This window comes from Homo sapiens, chromosome 15 (genome assembly GCF_000001405.40).
Source record: "Homo sapiens chromosome 15, GRCh38.p14 Primary Assembly".
NCBI classification, from domain to species: domain Eukaryota; kingdom Metazoa; phylum Chordata; class Mammalia; order Primates; family Hominidae; genus Homo; species Homo sapiens.
The window spans coordinates 83301736-83320666 of NC_000015.10; the positions used below are offsets into that span (position 1 = coordinate 83301736).

The following is an 18931-nucleotide window of genomic DNA, read 5'->3' on the forward strand; positions in this document are numbered from 1 at the left end:
AAATTAGCTGGGCATGGTGGCACACACCTGTAGTCCCAGCTACTTGGGAGGCTGAGGCACGAGAATCACTTGAACCCTGGAGGTGGATGTTACGGTGAGCCAAGACCACACCATTGCACTCCAGCCTGGGTGACAGCGTGAGACGCTGTCTCAAAAAAAAAAAAAAAATCTTCTGGTTTCTGATATTGTTGATGAGTGCTCTGCTCTTGGTCTAACCATTGTTCTGTTGCCAGTAGTCTGTCTTGCCTCTTACATAGCTTTATTGTTTTTCTCTATATCCTTGGTTTTCTGCAGTTTTATAATGATATGTTTAGGAATGGTTTATTTTGAGTTATTCTGATTGGCATTTGGTGCGCTTATACGATATTAGGAAAAATTCTCAGCCAAAACTTCTTTAACTATTACTCTCCCTTATTATCTCTACCCTCTTACTCCAAACTATTCTTGACATATGCTGGAACTTCTCTACTTGGCTTTCTGAACTGCTGCTGGTTATTTTTTATCTTTATCTTTCTGTGCTGAATTCTGGAAAAATTTCTGGTACTATCTCCCGCTACTTTTCTTTTTGTGTCCATTAGACCCAATTATTTTTTACATCAAGGAATTTTTTTTTACTTCTAAGATTTATTATAAATTATTTTTCATATTTCTGTTATGTTATTTCTGCCTGTTTTGTTTCATAACTTTTTATTCTTTTATGAATGTTATTTCTTCACTTTTTTTGAAGTCCTTAAAATGGTATTTTAATGTCATTTTTAGAGAGCTGTATTATTGTCATTTCACTGGAATGAATTCACCTACTGATTATTGATTTAGAACTTCATGCAAGAGTGGGGACCAGACCCAAGATCACCACGTAAAACTGAGATTAAGGTGGGACATTCTTATCTACTCATTAAGCCTGAAAAAAAATACTAAGCGTGCCACCAGAACCTATGGTTTCTTAAAAAGTAACATACCTATGGAGATGGGGAAAAGTTCACCTTACATCCGGGACCTGAGAAAAGTCATCTCATTGCCCAGTGTTTGGATCTGTGCAGTTCTGCAATAATCCTGGCTTCAATTCTCCATCTCTCATGCAGTAATTTTCAACCTACCAACTCTGCTTACCACTTATAAGCTTACATTTCTCATAAGTTTCTAGTCCATGGAGGTGCTTATTTTCCTTTCAAGCATGGCTATAAATTTTTAGTATTCTATTTTTACATTTTATCTATCACTGTCATGTGTTTAGAGTTGGAGAGGGGCTCAGAGTAGAAACAACTCAGCTTTGACTAACTCCTGCTTCCAAATGCATAATTTGTATTAAAATTTCAGTATCAATTTCATATCTTCAGTGTCTCTACATTTCAATAAGATGTTCTGATTTCCAATAACAATTTGAGCATTCACTTACAATAAGCATTAGATATAATTCTTTAATTTTGACTTTATTATTATCTGCATTGAAAATTAGCATAATCATATTACACATTATCCTCCCAACCACTGCTTAGATATAAACTTAAATGCCTTATGAATCTTTGAACTGTGACTGTATGTCCAGGGATGTGACCATTATATTAAACAACTACCACTGTAAGTTATTTCAAGCTCGCAGTTCTTCTTGTTTATACAGATTTGGTTGAGTCTCTCAGGCAGAGATGTTTGTTGATGACTTTGCTCCTGGACGAGTAAAGTACCAGGGCCTAGGGCCAATCAAGTGTGCTAGAAATAAGTTAGCAGAGGCTTCCTCTGCACCAAGAAAGCCTCTGGACCTCAGTGCACATTTGTTATTCTGTGTCCACTATAACATCTGTGTAACAGCCAGAACAAGGTGGTAGTATAGGAGTGGGGTGGAGAAGAATGATGTCTCTGCCGATGAATAGAAGAAAGATTTAAGGTGATGGTCACCCATATCTTCTCTTTTCCCTCCCACAGTCACCAAGGAATAGTTGCAACGTCTCCTCTTTGCTTCACAGGCCCCAGGCTGTATGCGTGTCTGCCTCTGTGTGTGTGTGTATGTATGAATGTGTGTGTCCTCCTTCATGCTTATGTATTAAATACTTGTAGCTGCAAGGCAAAAACTTATCACAGAGTTGTCTTAGACCCCTTCCTCTAATGGGAGGATGCCAGTCCAAGGTTTAACATAAGATGCTGGGGGCACAGATCAGAAGGGCATTGGGAAAGAAAGAACTTTGGGGCTCATATTAGAAATTAAGCCCAGACTTCAGTGGTCAATGAAGCTGAGTAACAGAGAACTGCATTCTGATTCCGAGAGCCTCTAGAGTCATACAGCTAAGAGGACTGGGCCTACCTAGCCAGGATGCGAACGTCACAGAATGAAAAATGCCTGGGAAAATGTGGCCAGGAGAAATAGTACTTTTCACTCCTCAATTCACTTTCATTTTCTACTGTGGCAGTTTAAGGTAAGAAGAGTTAGATGTATAAGTTCGTCAATACCTGCCTTGATACTTGCACTATATACAGGATAGAAAAAGGAATTGGTTTGTGTCCCTAAATTCTGGGTATATGATATAAAATTTGTTCCCTATTTTGCTAATCTTATTATATTGGAGTTCTGACAAGTGACTCTCCCTCTCAATATTTATCCCTATTACAAGAAGGTACTCTGATAATTTAATTCTGTTCTGTCCTATCTAGCAGTTTGTTTTGTTAAAAAAAAAAAGTCTGCAAATGTCCATTGACAGATGAATGGATAAACAAAATGTGGTATATACATACCACGAAATATTATTCAGCCTTAAAAAGGAAGGAAATCCTGTCATATGCTAAAGATGAATGAACCTTGAGGACATTGAACTATGTGAAATAAGTCACCCACAAAAAAACGAATACTATATGAGTCCCTAGAGTAATCAAATTCATAGTGAGAGAAAGTAGAATGATGGCTGCCAGAGGCTTAGAGGGAGGGGGAAATGAGGAGTTGTGCTTTAATGGGTGTAGATGAAGGAGCTCTGGAGATTGGTTGCACAAAAATGTGAATACAGTTAACACTACTGGACTACACTTAGAAATGTTTAAGATGGTAAATTTTAGATTATGATTTTTTTTAAACAATTAAAACACAAAACAACACAATGGGGTATTATGAGAAAGCAAGTGGGCTTCTGTAGGAATATATCTGGGGTCAGTCAGAGAGGGCTCCCCTGAGGAAGTGGCATTTCAGCCAAGATCTAAGGAATGAATGAAGTTAGCCACAGAAGGGTATAGAGGGTAGGGGCTGAAGGACACACTAGACAGCAAGGGGGACCACGAATAAGTTAAGCAGCCACTGCCCAGCCCATATCAAGCCCTATGTGGGTTACCACAGTCAAACAGCTTCCTGCTTTCAGTCTCTAGCTAATGCCAGATTAATTTTTCTAGAACACCACCTGGATCATGTCACCCTCCCACCTTCCTGGCTAGTTCTTCTAGAACTTCTTTTTTTTTTTTTTAGTTTTGCTTGCTGAATAACCTCTCTGCCTGGCACTTGAGGCCCTTTCATGTGGCCCTACCCTGGCTCCAGAGTTACTCTTCCATTACTCCCCCGTGTGAACTCTTGCCCCAGCCATATCCCTCCCTCTCTTGTTCCCTGAACACAGCATATTAATTCCCGCCTCAGCACCTTTGCTTATGTAATTTCTCCTGTCCGGAACACCCCCATTCTCCCCAGGCCTTGATCACTTTTGTTCCTTCAGTTAGCCCCTCCACTCCTCAGGGATCATCCCTTCTGGATTCCGCAACACATCATTTCCCATTTGCTACCTTGCCCTTTCACTTCACCGCTTCCTCCCCCACCTCCACACACATTACCTGGGAACCGTGTCTTACTCATGTCTGAGTCTCTAGGGCTTAGTGCCACATCCGAGGGGCTAGCTTAACATGTAACAGTCATCCACTAATCACGATTCCTTATGGTCAGCAGCTTGTCGCTGGCAATGGGAAGCTGGCAGACCCAAGGCTGATGTCCAGCAGGGAAGCAGCCTGTTTACCCTCAGCACTGCCCCTGGAGCCCACCTCCAGCACCATTCTATCTACTTCTGACATTCTTGAGCTGAACATCTCCTGACCAGGCCCTCCAGATGCTTAACAGGATTATCTGCCTAACAGCACAGCCCTCCCAGGCGAGTGACTTCATCTAGGGAAATGCAGGAGCAGTAACAAGCACCAGGACACATTTTCCTAAAGCTCAGAGGACACTTCAGGGTGGGGATGGGGATAGGAGGGAATCAGATGGAGGCCCTACACACATTAAATGCAAAGCAAGTGATTTAACTCAGGAGAAAAGCCGCTTTCACAGATGGGAGTTTTGCACAGCAACTCACTGCCTAACTATTCCATTGGCAAATGCAGCCGTGGTCGTGGGCTGGAGAGGAGAAGTGGGGGCGGAGAATGAGGAGGCACGGGGGTTGGGAAATCCACCTGGATGCCATCAGTCTTGCCAGAGTAAACAGAGCTGACAGGAGTGCTTGCCGGCAGCCTGGTACAGGTTAGGGGGGGGTCACTGAAGCGGCCCGGTGACCCGCCTGCCTTAAGGTAGAGACGCTCTGGAATCTGTCACAAAGGACAGAGCTGAAAGCTCATTCCTCGCAGAATGAACTCGTTTCCTGGCATTCCACACAATTGGGAGTGCATGCACTTTTAAAATGTTTAAATGTAAAGCTGAGCTGGGATCAAATACACACATTTAAAGCAAAACAAACAAAAAAGATCCCCTCCCCCACCTCAAAGTAGGACCCATATTATAGATGTCACCAGCAATAAAAAGTAATTTTTAAAAAGCTCCTCAGTTTTCTTGAAGCTTGAGGGTTTAGAAAGAAGAGCCAGATTTATAAGGAGAAACCTACCACTTAATTATTTAGAACTTTCCAACGCAACAGCAGAATATAACTTAAGCAAAAGTCCTTTATTACAATCCTATAATAATATGTATGGGAGATGGAAATCGCTTTTCTTAAGAATAAGCATTCCCAAACACTCCATTCTTCTTAGAGTGTGCAAATGTGAAAGTGATAGCAGTGGCATATTTAGCATACTTCACAAGAGTCTTCCTCAAGCCATACATAGTGGGAGAGAAATTTCAAATAAAAGAGTTTGAGTAACTAATAAGGAATTTTTTGGACTTGGAAGCACCAGTAAGACTATGGTTTATTCCTCCCTTCAGCAGGCACTGAGGGCCTATTAAGGGGATTGAGGATGGATGAAGGTCACCTAAACGTTGAAAGCCATGGCCATGGTTCTCTAGCTCAAAAGACACATGAATAGTGTCTTGTAAGGCTGAAGAAAAACAGTCACGACTTAAATCTACCTGTGCCCTCCAAGATGTCCTTTTGATAGGGTATGTGACCTTGGGCAAGTCACTTCATCAGCTGGTCTTGTTTCTTCACCTATAAAATGAAGATAGTAAAACGCTGGTGCCTTCAGGGTATTCCTGGCACTAATGAAGGCTCATAAAGTGCTTTGAGATCCTTAGGATGAAAGTCTCTTCAGAACAGTAAAGCTTGATTATTATGCTGCAAACATGACATTCCCATGAAAGTCCTGGTCAGGCTCTTACCCCACCTCTCAGGGAAGATTTAATAGTGGAGAATTGTAATATGTTCTTAAAGGATTGAGATCTCCATTACTGATACAAAATATGCCACAGTAAACTAGTATATTAAGGGCTATTATCATGAATAATTTAAAGCCAAGTTGTACTTACAGATTAATCAACCAAGTATATATTATGATGCAGTAGATTTTCATTGTGGCTTCCCCCAACAGACTAATGTGACAAAAAATTATTATTCTCAGTGGATCCTCCAGTTTGCATAGATTAGCAGGTTGACTTCACATAATGGGTCATCACAGTAAACTTCTGAGGGATACCTTTATATCTACTCTAAGAAATAAACCCAATTAGAGGTCTCTTCTTAGTACAGAAGAAGAGGTTCATTAATGATAATGAGAGACTGGGTTACACTAGGCCCTAAGTTTGTAATTAATCTTGTACAGACCTTCCCGCTTGAAAATATTGAAGAATATCAAAGTCATGTACATCACTCCAGGCTAAAACACATGCACGTGAAAAGGGGAGAGCAGGCTCATGCACAGATGTCTTGGCTGATCTTGGACAATGCTACTTCTGATGATGCATTGGAAGGTGTAACCATAATTAGATCAAGTGAAAGCCTTGTGTGAGCTCATTTAGATAATTCACTAAGTCTGAATATTAAAAATCCACAATTTCTGTATTCCATAGCATTAAAAAAGATGTCCACAGTAAGGTACAAAGGATGGATTTTAAAAGACATGCTAAGAGGAATTACAGACACTAATGTGTTAGTGGAATGACAGATTATGGTCGTCTCAAGAAAATTTTAAAGAAATATCCAGGCCGGGCACGGTGGCTCACGCCTGTAATCCCAGCACTTTGGGAGGCCGAGGCAGGCAGGTCACGAGGTCAGGAGATCGAGGCCATCCTGGCTAACACGGTAAAACCTGTCTCTACTAAAAATACAAACAAAAAAAAAAAATTTAGCTGGGTGTGGTGGCAGGCGCCTGTAGTCCCAGCAACTCAGGAGGCTGAGGCAGGAGAATGGCGTGAACCCGGGACATGGAGCTTGCAGTGAGCCGAGATAGCACCACTGCACTCCAGCCTGGGTGACAGAGCGAGACTCCATCTCAAAAGAAAAAAAAAAAAAAAAAGAAATATCCAAAGTATTAGTGTTACATTGTGTGTTCCTTTTCTGAGATTTCCATCTCTTCCTATGATTTTTTTAAAAAATAATGCTGCCATTGGCACCAGCTAATATAAGATAATTGGCAATGCCACTGTACTCTTGACTGTAGTGGGAGAGAAAAATAGATTACTTTCTGCTAGAGATAAGGGACACTTTCAGATTTCTGGAATGCTATTTGAAAGGAGAAAGGTGCTCAGTAAAAGACTAGGGATGTTGCCACAATAGTGAGTTCTATCTCTGCAGCTGGGAAACTCATCTACAACAGACCTGACGGTCCAAATACTGAAAAAATAATTAAGGCCATTCGGAACCATTAAGTTTATAGATAAGCAGGATAAACTGACCTTCAAGGGAATCTGCAATTCTTTTCCTGACTCCAAGCCAAGTTTTCCTAACATGCCGTGCGTTGGTGTACCTCCGTGCCTTTGCTCAGCAAGTACCTTCACCCACCTAGCCACTTCTCTGCCTGAGAAACTCCTACTCATCCTTCAAGATGTAGGTCTAAATATCTCTTGCTGTGTGGAGACTTCTTTGGTGTTGCAGAGGTAGAGATAGATGCTTGATGCTCTCATAACACTCAGTTTCCTTCCTTCCTTCCTTCCTTCCTTCCTTCCTTCCTTCCTTCCTTCCTTCCTTCCTTCTTTCCTTCCTTCCTACCTTCCTTCTTTCCTGAGATGGAGTTTCGCTCTTGTTGCCTAGGCTGGAGTGCAATGGCACGATCTTGGCTCACCGCAACTTCTGCCTCCTGGGTTCAAGCGATTCTCCTGCCTCAGCCTCCCCAGTAGCTGGGATTACAGGCATGCGCCACCGCACCCGGCTAATTTTTTTGTATTTTTAGTAGAATCGAGGTTTTTCCATGATGGTCAGGCTGGTCTGGAACTCCTGACCTCAGGTGATCCGCCCACCTCAGCCTCCCAAAGTGCTGGGATTACAGGCGTGAGCCACTGCGTCTGGTCAGTTTCCATCTTTTTCTATGATGCATTACATCCTATTGCAAAGTTTTCAGTGTCTGTTTCCCCTTCGATGCTTGAGCCTTGAGGCACTGGGACCACATCTTATCACTTTAGTTATAAAAGACATGATAAAACTGCCTGGTGCCTAATACAAGTCCAATGACTCTAAATTCAAGTATTTACTGTCCAATGTGACACAGGAACTGAACAATCAGAGCACATGCTGGCTGTAAACAATTGTCGGGGCTGTTCTGGGATGTAGCTCTCCACAGGCATCATAACAGCCACCAAATGTTTATTGAAATAAAATCAACCATAGCCTGACTTACTGAGTGTACAGTAAAGCTTTTATAGCCCCAGAGCTAAGTGTCACCATTTTCCCATCTATAAAATGGGAGAGTAATACCTTCTTCATGATGTTGTTATAAATCTAATATGAATCAAATGAAAAGGCACCTCATGCCTAATACAAGATGATTGACTCTGTGCTTGTGGCCAAATCACCTGTCAACTACTAAAAGCTCTAGAAAATGGCCCTAACCCATCATTTCAAAAGGGATCATTATCTCCCAAATCACCAGGGATAGTTTGGGGAGTTTGGCCTGGAGTCCATCAGGGTAGGTTGAATGTGAGGGTCTTGGTGAAGTAGGTGCCCCTTCCATTGTCCATGTGGCCTAGCGTCAGGTAAAGGGAAACAGCTAATTTAGAGAAAAGCGTGCCTTGTGGAACACACCCTGGGTCATAGATTTTCAGCTAGTTTCCTTTCTCAAGGGTAGTGATTCTTACATTTTGCTGCACATTCAAATCACCTGGAGAGCTTTTAAAATTCCTGCTGCCCAGGCTGCACTCCTGGTGAGTTATATCAGGATCTCAGGGTTGGGACCCAGACATGGGTATTTCCTACAGCTCCTGTGGATGATTCCAGTGGGCAGTCAAGTTTGAGAACCAGAGTCTAGGGCATGGAGGGGTCACAGTCCTAGATGCCCACAGAGGTCTGGCAGGTCATGTGGATGAGTTAGTGTCAGACAACTGGGAGCAGGGAAGACCTGTGGTAAACTGGAAAGCACCTGTCTTATTTAAAGATTTTCAACTTAAAAAAATGAATTCACTACATATACCCCCAAAATATGTAAAACGATTATATATCAATTAAAAACATTTTTTTAAAAAATGAATTCACTGTTCCAGCCAAATGAAACACAGCTGTGAGCTGTGTTTGGCCCATAAGCCATTGGTTTGCAAAACCTGTCTGTGGTAATATTGCCTGAGAGGCCCCGGAAGGTTCTCAGAATAGGTCAAAGCCAAAGCTCAGGAAATGCTGCTGAAGCTATCAGCTGTGTGCTTCCCAAGGATTTCCCCTACATTCCATTCTCTTTCCCCCAGATGCTATTGTTAATTGGCTTTTGTGTACTTATTTTACATGTTTTTACATTTCTTTTCAGATACCTAGAAAATATATTTTTGAATGCTACCACAGCACATGCCTATGAAGGTTTGAATTTCATCTTGGCAAAAAGTTTTTCACAGTGATTATTGCTGACATGGCTATTGTTGAAGCTATTGTACAAGTTCTTCTGTTTAAAGGAAAGGAAGTAGATCAGGTCAGCTGCTCATTCTTTAAGCAAAACCATCAAATGTTCTTCAGGACAGCTCTCTTTTCAAGACAATCTTTGCAGCAGCATGGGATGTTTCTTACTGGGTAAAGAGGATTGCATTCATTCCTCTGCAGGAGCAGGGTGATATTTTTATTTTTAAGCCTCTCACTTGACTACCTGCCACTTGTCCCAAGTACAACCTCCACTGTGTTCCTTTAATGTCTTTAGGGTTCAGAAGTCATTGACTAAACTGGGTGTGGCCTGGACAAGGCTGAACGAGTCCTGTCACATTTTCCTCCCAGCTTATCCCCACCCGTTATTAGTAAGTAATTCTCTTACTGCACTGAGGCCTCGACAAAGTCCTTATCACAGGGTCACAACAGTTCCCATCAGATTTTGCCCCTGGGTGAGGATGATCCAAACTCCATTTCCTCTTCCATTTCCTCTGCAGGTCTCCATAGTCCCTACAGGGCAAATTAATATCATCAACTTCCCTTCTGTAATTTCTGAATTTCTTTCCGGAAACTTCCTCATTTTGTATTGAATTGCTATTCCTCTATCAGTTTGCAAATTACTATCTTTAACAAATGAAATCACTCAGATCAGTAACAGTAAAAAGCAATTTACTATAATGATAGTTACATAAGAAGAAACAAGTATAAGTGGAATAAATGAATGAATGAATGATGCCTCACTCTGGACCATATTTATCATGAGCTGATAGCAGACAGGGTTTCATGAGGGAAGATAGATACAATGTATGATTGCATTTTCTTTTTCATTTATTTTTTATTTTTATTTTTTTTGGAGACGGAGTCTTCGCTCTGTTGCCAGGCTGGAGTGCAGTGGTGCAATCTTGGCTCACTGCAACCTCCGCCTCCCAGGTTCAAGCGATTTTCCTGCCTCAGCCTCCTGAGTAGCTGGGATTACAGGCACGTGCCACCATGCCCAGCTAATTTGTTGTATTTTTAGTAGAAACGGAGTTTCACCATGTTAGCCAGGATGGTCTCCATCTCCTGACCTTGTGATCCGCCCACCTCAGTCTCCCGAAGTGTTAGGATTACAGGCATGAGCCACCGCACCTGGCCTGTGATTGCATTTTCTATCCAACTGAACATTTTTGAGCATCTGCTGTGTGTCAGAACCAGGGAACAAAGATGAACACGTAAGTTCCTGCCCTCAGGGAGCTCCCTGGAGAGTGGGGTGATCTAAGAGTGCTCAATGTGCCCAGTGCTCCAACAAAGGGGTGTATGTACAAAGTGCTGTGGGAGCAGAAGAAGGAAGTGACTAACTCTGCCTTGGGGCACAGGGAAAGTTTTAGAAAAGCTGGGACATCAGGGCTGGGCCTCAGAGACACTCCCTTTCCCAGCATGAGCCTCACTCCAAGTTTGGGGACAATGTCTGCCCTCAGGGAAAAGACAGAAGTTGGGCCCCATGCCTGGTTTCCCAGCTCCTCTTTCCCAGACATCTCTGTGGGGAGAAAAGAGGGCAGACATGGGCTTTAAAGACCACTCCTCTTTCTTCCTCCCAAATAAAGACTCGTATTCTCTTCATTCATCACTTCAGATACCAAGAACCCCAGTGAAGAATGAGGGTATTGGGGGTTGATGGTCAGACTAACAAAACGGTAGGACAAAAGAAAAGCTAGAAATGAAAGTCATAGTGTACCAAGATGGGAAGGGTCGGTAGAAGTGGTCTTTTATTGCTAATATTATTCAGAATTGGTGCATGGAGATAATAAAAAGCAGAGAGACTTTTAGTTAGCTCTTTTATTGTTTTTAAATTCTCTACAGGACAACGCAGCCTCATACTCCCTGCAACCCAGGTGGGCTGCTCCCATGCTCCCCCTACATTGTCATGGAATGAATTTACTTTCTGAAAGTTCAGACAAAACTGAAAATTCAAGACCAGCTTGGGATTTATAATGGGCTCTGATTCTCAGTGTGTCCAGCATGTTGCAGGTGATGAGAGAGACTGGGGACTTCATCTGCAAATTCTGATACCCCCACTCCCCCTGCCAGGATACTGTCCTGTGAAGGTTCATCACCCCAAAAGCCCAGTGGTTCCCAACCCGATCTTGCTCCTCAGATGTGAACCCATGGGGCAATGGGATTGGGGGATAGTAAAGAAGACAGGGATCCAAGGAATCCCATATTTCCAGGATCAGGAGCAGATAGATTAGAGATGATGCAGGATCTTTCTCTAGGCAATCAGGAAGAGTCCTTGAGGAAGCAAAGAAGCTTGCCCAAATTATAATAGCAAGATGTTTGTTTGAACCCAGAAGTCTAGAGTTGTGGTTAAAGAGATGCTAGGCCAGGCGTGGTGGCTCACACCTGTAATCCGAGCACTTTGGGAGGCTGAGGTGGGCGGATCACCTGGGGTCAGGAGTTTGAGACCATCCTGACCAACATGGAGTAACGCTGTCTCTACTAAAAATAAAAAAAAAAAAAATTAGCCGGGCGTGGTGGTGCATGCCTGTAATCCCAGCTACTTGGGAGGCTGTGGCAAGAGAATTGCTTGAACCTGGGAGGCAGAGGTTGCGGTGAGCCAAGATCGTGCCATTGCACTCCAGCCTGGGCAGCAAGAGCGAAATTCCATCTCAAAAAAAAAAAAAAAAAAAAAAAAGAGAGAGATTCTAAAAAGACTCTACAACCAGAATGCTTAGATTTGAATCTTGTGAGCTTGGGCAAGTTACTTAATCTCTTTGTGTCTGTTTCTCATTCTAAGACAGGGATAGTAACAGTACCTAGCTTATACGTTGTGGTGAGGATTATATATATGAGTTAATATATGTGAAATATTTGGCGAGTAGTAAGTGATGAATAAATGTTAGCTGCTGTTAGTGGAAATTGAGTCTCATTTCCACTGTTGTAAGCTGTTGTTAGTGGAAATTGAATCTCATTAAACTGCTCAAATTTGATATTGTTATCCACTCCTTTGCTCAGTGATTTTGGGTCTCTAAATTCTATCCAAAGAAACAGAAGTCTCTCTAAGAACACATGATAACTCTTTAGCATCTTTTCCTTAAAGTTGACAAGCTTTCTCAGGAGCAGAGCATCTTTGGCTGGCAGAATCATGGGCTATTACTGTAGGAATAGAGCAGAAGGAATGGGACTCCTAAGGCCATCCCTATTTTCTTGTGTGGTTTGCAGCATTGCTCCTGGTCTCCATTTTCTGTGCATCAGTGTCATACCACAAAATGCAGTATCCACCTCAATTTTGTGTTCCATTCCTTTAAAAAGTGAAAGTAATTGCTTCTGTATTACAAAAGCACTATGCAGTACTTGCAGAAAAAACAGATAGCTTAAAAGAAGAAAAACTCATCCTACTCTCGTTATCCAGAGACACCCTCTGTGATGCCTAAGTGTACTGCCCTCTGGATCTTTTACATCCCATATACAGCTTTTATGACAAAAGTTGGCTCACACTGCATTTACTATTTTCTTTTCTTTTCTTTTCTTTTTTTCTTGAGATGGAGCCTTGCTCTGTCACCCAGGCTGGAGTGCAGTGGCACAATCTCTGCTCACTGCAAGCTCCGCCTCCTGGGTTCACGCCATTCTCCTGCCTCAGCCTCTCCAGTAGCTGGGACTACAGGCGGCCACCACCACGCCCAGCTAATTTTTTGTATTTTTAGTAGAGATGGGGTTTCACTGTGTTAGCCAGGATGGTCTCAATCTCCTGACCTCGTGACCCGCCCACCTCGGCCTCCCAAAGTGCTGGGATTACAGGCGTGAGCCACCACACCCGGCCTGCATTTACTATTTTCTTACCTCTATTTCCACTTAACAATATATCACGAACATCCTCCCATGGCAATAGATATTAATCAACAACATTTTTAATGACTGGATAATACTTTATTTACTAGACGGACAATCTTTTAACACAACTTTTATTGTTTAACACACAGCTCCTTTCTGATTTTTGAAATCTTCAACAGGGTTGTCCATCAACCACCTGGAGGATGATTACTGGGACATATCCTTAACAATTTCCTTAGTAGAAATTCATGTAAGTGATATTGCAGAGTCAAAGGCTATATGTACACTTTAAGGTTTCAGATGCATGTTGCCAGATTGTCCCCCTCGAAGTCTGGACCGTTGAACCTCTCACCTATGAAATATATATATTTTTAATTCTTTGCCAACCTATTAAGCAAAATAGTATCTTAGTTTAACATATTATTTTTTGAGGCACGGTCTTGCTCTGTCATCCAGGCTAGAGTGCAGTGGCTCACTGCAGCCTCAAACTCCTGGACTCAAGAGATCCTCATGACTCAGCCTCCCTAGTAGTTGGGGCTACAGGTGCAGGTCAGCATGCTTGGCTAATTTGTTTAAATTTTTTTGTAGAGATGGGGTCTTGCTATGTTGCCCAGGCAGATCTCAAACTCATGGCCTTCAGCAATCCTCCTGCCTCAATCTCCTAAAGTGCTGAGATTACAGGTGCGAACCACTGTGCCTGGCCCAGTTTAATTTATATTTTGATAGCTAACTAGATTGAATATTTAAAATATGGAGTGGTATAATGGACATTGGAGACTCAGAAGCGGGGAGGGTGGAAAGGCAGTGAGGGATGAAAAATTACCTGTTGGGTACCAGTGTACACTGTTCAAGTGATGGGTGCACTGAAAGCCCAGACTTCACCACCATACATTTTATCCATGTAACCAAAAACCATTTGTATCCCTAAAGCTATTGAAATTTTAACAAATGAAATATGTTTTCTAGCCATGTATATTTTAGCTTTTAAGAACTACCATTCATGTCCTTAGTTTGTTTTTTCTGTGGAGGGGTTAGTCTCTTTCTTTTGTACTTATTTGTAAACTCTGAAAGAGTCAGGTTATTAATGCTGTCATATTTGTTGCAAATATTGTTTTGTTTACTATTTATATTTTAATTTTGTTCTAATTGTTTTAAACACATGGCATCTAATCTATATTCTTTTCCTTTTTATTTCCAATCTTTATTTGCACCAAGAATATATAGCCAGCTACCTTATATTTTTTCTGGTAATCTGTATGGGTACATTTTAAAATTGAGATCTAATTCCTATACCATAAAAATTTCCATTTTAAAATGTAGAATTCAGTAGTTTTTAGTATATTCACAAGGTTGTGCAACCATCACCACTATCTAATTCCAAAACATTTTCGTTGCCCCACAAAGAAACCCTATGCCCATTAGTATCACTCCTCATTCCCCACCCCCAGCTCTTGAAAACCACAAATCTGCTTTCTGGGATTTGCCTATTCTGGATATTTCATATGAATGAAATCATACAATATGTGGCCTTTTGTGTCTGGCTTCTTTCATTTAGCATAATGTTTTCAATGTTCATCAATGCTGTAGAATGAATCAATATTTTATTCCTTTTATAGTTTCCATTGTATGGATGTATTTTGTTTATCCATTCATCAATTATTGTAATTTTATAATACACTTTCTAGTGGGGCATAGTGTATCTCAGTGATTCTTAAAGTGTGGTCTGACCTTTAGCATCAGCTGAGAACTTGTTAGAACTGCCAATTTCAGGTCTCACTCCAGACCTACTGAATTATGACCTGTGGGCCTGGGCTCAGCCATCTGTTTTAATCAGGCTTCTAGGTGACTCTGATGCACAACTTTTTGAGAATCACTGATATACCTTATTACACTTCTTTAACACTGTCCTGTTTTTTTTCTACGTTTATTAATTCTTCTGGCTGAAGTCTAGTGTTTTGGAACATATATCCAGGTTCTAATTTTATAAGTTGTTAAAGCCTTCTTGAAGTCTTCCTTTACCCACCCTTTTTTTTTTATTGTTAGGGTCAATAGTTAACTGATATTTTAAAATATCCTTGCCTCTATCTCTCTCATTTACAAACTCAGTGTGGAGTTTTAGATCTAGATTATTATTTTTTAAGACGTAGATTCTATCCAATTTTATTTTATTTATAAGTTTCTCTATTTTAGCTAGTTTTAGGGCTTATCATAATTTCCCTGTTCTTGTGCTCTTGATTTTCTTTCAAACTCTGAATTACTACAGAGTAGAAAAACTGCAATTCGCAGTATGCACCTCTACCAGGGTTCTTTTTTTTTTTTTTTTTTTTTTTTTGAGGCGGAGTCTGGCTCTGTCACCCAGGCTGGAGTACAGTGGCCCAATCTCGCCTCACTGCAAGCTCCGCCTCCTGGGTTCATGCCATTCTCCTGCCTGAGCCTCCCAAGTAACTGGGACTACAGGCACCCTCCACCACGCCTGGCTAATTTTTTTTTTTTTTTTTTTTTGTATTTTTAGTAGAGACGGGGTCTCAACATGTTAGCCAGGATGGTCTCGATCTCCTGACCTTGTGATCCACCTGCCTCGGCCTCCCAAAGTGCTGGGATTACAGGCGTGAGCCACTGCACCCGGCCTTTACCAGGGTTCTTTTGTCTCCATTGCCTCACTTGTGGAAATCACATCTCCGGACTTACAATATGTGTCATCCTGTGCCGGTACCCTTACTGCCAGGGTCATCCATATCTGTATGAGTGTGCAGAGATGGTTGTACTGGATGGTGTGTGTGTTTGTGCACGCATGTGTGCAAAGGCAGAAGAGCCCTTACTGGGCAGTGCCCAACATAGGTGGAGGGCTAGCTTCCTGGCTTTCTGGTGATGATAAAGAAGGTACAAATATATCTTCCTTTTATTTTTGTTAGACTCTCTGTTTTGAGAAGCAAAGCCAGATCATTCCATGAGCTGAAAACTAAAGTAAGGTTATACAATTTCTTCTCTGTCTGCCCATGTCTAATATCTGTTATTCCAAGGTTTTGTCTTTTTATTGTCTTTGTTTTCAACATTGTAAATTTTTTGAAAAAGTCTTTTCCCATGTTTCATGGGCATGTTAGTGACAAGTCAAGAGAGGGTGCATTGGGGTGTGGTGGTCAGATGCCATTTTGAAATAGAGTGGCACATTCACATTAGAGGCCTGTGTCTCAGGAGAGACGTTCCTCCATCTCAGATTCAGGAGCTATGGCATCACTTCTACTGCATTTTGGTTTAAAAATCACACTTGGACTGAAAGGGACAGAGACAGTACAAAATAAAAAGAGGCTTTTAGACTCCAAGAATTCTGTTGGTGAGAAGCAAGCTGAGATAACTATGCAGCTGCAAACATAGGTTACTTCTCATGAAAAAGGAAGGAAAACCAGAGGGTGGGACCAAGAGTCCAGAGAATGGAGCCAAAAGTCATGAAAATCCCCATTGAGCAGCAATAGAACTGAATCCTAATCAAGGAATTTCCAACATTTGCCCATCTGGATTTCAGAACTGCTACAGACCAGTAACTTCTGCATGCCTCCTGTTTTACCCCCTTTTGAACAGGAGCTTCTCTAGTGGGTGTCCATGCTTGTCCCACCATCATATGTATGTTGGGTGTGTGTGGATGGGGGTGCAGATAGCTGTATCTGTAGTTCACAGGTCTTCAGATTGAGAGGATTTGTACCCAAATAGCTGTACTTAAGGAACTACAACTGAGGACCCTCATCCGCATCTGGACTTGATGTAAATGATGGGATTTGGACTTACAGCTGATGCTTGAATGGGATGAGACTTTTGGTGGCCTTGGAAGATGGTGAGTATCTTTTACATATGGGAAGAATGTAAATAATTTGTGGTCAGAGGGTGGATTTTGGTGGTTTTAAAAATATGTCCACAAATTCTTTGATACTTTTTCCCCTTCAAAAGGTAGACCTTAATTCCCTTCCCTTGAGGGTGGGCTAGACTTAGTGACCTGTTTCTAATGAATAGAATATGGTATTAAAGATGGTGTGTAGCTTCTGAGACTAACTCATCAAAGACATTGTGGCTTATTCCTTGTGCTCCTTCTCACTTGTTCTGGGGGGAGCCGGCTGCCATGTTGTGAGAGCCCTCAAGCAGCCATATGGAGAGATCCACATGGTGAACAACTGAGGCCTCCTGCCATTGACCATGTGAATGAGTCCTGTTGGAAGTGGATTCCACATGCCCTGTTAAGTCTTCAGATAACTGTAACCCTCGTCAATGCCTTGACTGCAATCTCATGCGCGATTCTGAGCCAGAGCTACACAGCTAAGTCACTCCCAAATTCCTGACCAACAGAAACTATGAGATAATAAATGTTTGCTATTTTAAAACACTGTGTTTGGGTAATTTGTTACACAGCAATAGATAACACATGGATACAGTGCCATTTTGGCAGAGTTTGAGTCCTGACACCTTTTGGTTCTTGACATCTATCTGGAAAGAGGACCCAGGCCAAGATCTCTCCAGAGACAGTGTATGTGGCAGAGATCTTCTCAGAGAGATGTACCTGTATCATAAGTGTTACATACAACAAGTCTTTACAAACTGAAAATTTGTGTAGCCAGCTCACAAATCAAGAAAAAATTCACTATTACACCCAGAAACTCCCCTCAGGCCCCCTTCTAGTCATTACCCTTGCAAAGGGTATCTTGACCTCTAGCAGCAAAGAGTTTTGCCTGTTTTATTCCTTAATGGAATAACTGGAATCATACTCTTTTGTACCTGGCTTCTTTTACTCAACATTGTGTTTATGAGATGTATCCAAATTGTTGCATGTAATTGTAGATTGCTCATTATAATTGCCCTACAGGGGCAGTTATTCTATTGTGTGAAATCCTACAGTTTACTTATTATCCATTCTACTAGTGATGGGCATTTGGATGGTTTCCAGTTTTGGCCTATTACAAATAGTTCAACTAGGAACACATAAAAATAAGTTTTAAGATACGTACATCCAAAGATTGACAAACAAATATGCAGATTATCTTCTATGGTTTACTTTTCCAATATGGAAAAGAAGAAACAGAAAGTTGTAAAAATAATTTAAATAAATGTTTCCAGTAGCTCATCTGAATTACTTCTACTAAAAGGCAGCACGAAATGCTTCCCATTGGAACCACTAATTCCTGCTTGTTCACTGACTGCCCATGGTGTGCAAAGCTCTGAACCCTGCCCTGTTCTCCAGGAGTTTTCTCAAGCATAGCAAGCGGAAAGGGCAAGGACCCCTGGGGGCTGGGATGTAGGGCAGAATGCCATAAAAGTCGAGGAGATACCTTGATGAGGGGAGTTCAGGGAGATCAAGGAGGGGTTCCTGGAGGGTGGGTCCTGGATAATAGACATAAGTAGACACTCAGAATTGAGGATGAAATGGAAATGAGAAAAGTCACAGAGGTTGGCATTATCTATAAATAGCCCACTTCATTAAAATGATTTGATGAATATCAGAGGAATTAAAAACAAGTCTTCATCCAGCACTCTTCCCACCAACATCCCCGTTGTTAAAGAGCATGGCGGCTTTTTTCTACAGTAAATAAACCTAACTTCAGATGCAGCTTTATTTTTCACTAACATCATCTGAAATTGAGATTTGATTTAAGTTAAAAGATGCTAAGTTCATTCATTCATCCATTGAATATCAATTCTATGTGTAAGTCACTGTCCCACACCACTGAGGATGAAAGTAAATGAAGGATGGTCCGAAACAAACCAATTCCAAACGATCTTACGTAGTACTGCAGCCCACAGAGGGTGGTTGTGAAATGGTTAAGCAACAAATTCCTGGGAATGTTTGCCACAGGAAGCTTGGTAAAGTTGATGATATCTGCACGGTGGGGGAGACATTTTCAAGTTGTTCTCAGCCTGGAAATAGTTCCCTCCAC

At 41.6% G+C, this 18931-nt stretch overlaps 1 long non-coding RNA gene across 2 annotated transcripts in view, besides 1 other annotated feature; it reads left to right on the plus strand.

The window, feature by feature from the left end:
• Positions 1–16928, plus strand: part of BNC1-AS1 (BNC1 antisense RNA 1) — a 34652-nt gene extending 17724 nt beyond the window's left edge. Inside the window, exons 2-3 of one of the 2 annotated variants that reach the window (XR_932541.3) lie at positions 760–873; positions 16682–16928. This is a non-coding gene — a long non-coding RNA (BNC1 antisense RNA 1). The remainder of the gene's footprint in view (positions 1–759; positions 874–16681) is intronic. The other variant, XR_932542.3, reaches the window with a different exon arrangement.
• Positions 8875–9420: an enhancer, noted in NCBI's record as "NANOG hESC enhancer chr15:83979362-83979907 (GRCh37/hg19 assembly coordinates)". NCBI's record gives its function as "activates a minimal SCP1, AML or CMV promoter by ChIP-STARR-seq in primed H9 embryonic stem cells {active_cell/tissue: H9 hESC(primed)}" and the evidence as "EXISTENCE:reporter gene assay evidence [ECO:0000049][PMID:30033119]".
• Positions 16929–18931: the final 2003 nt, after the last annotated feature.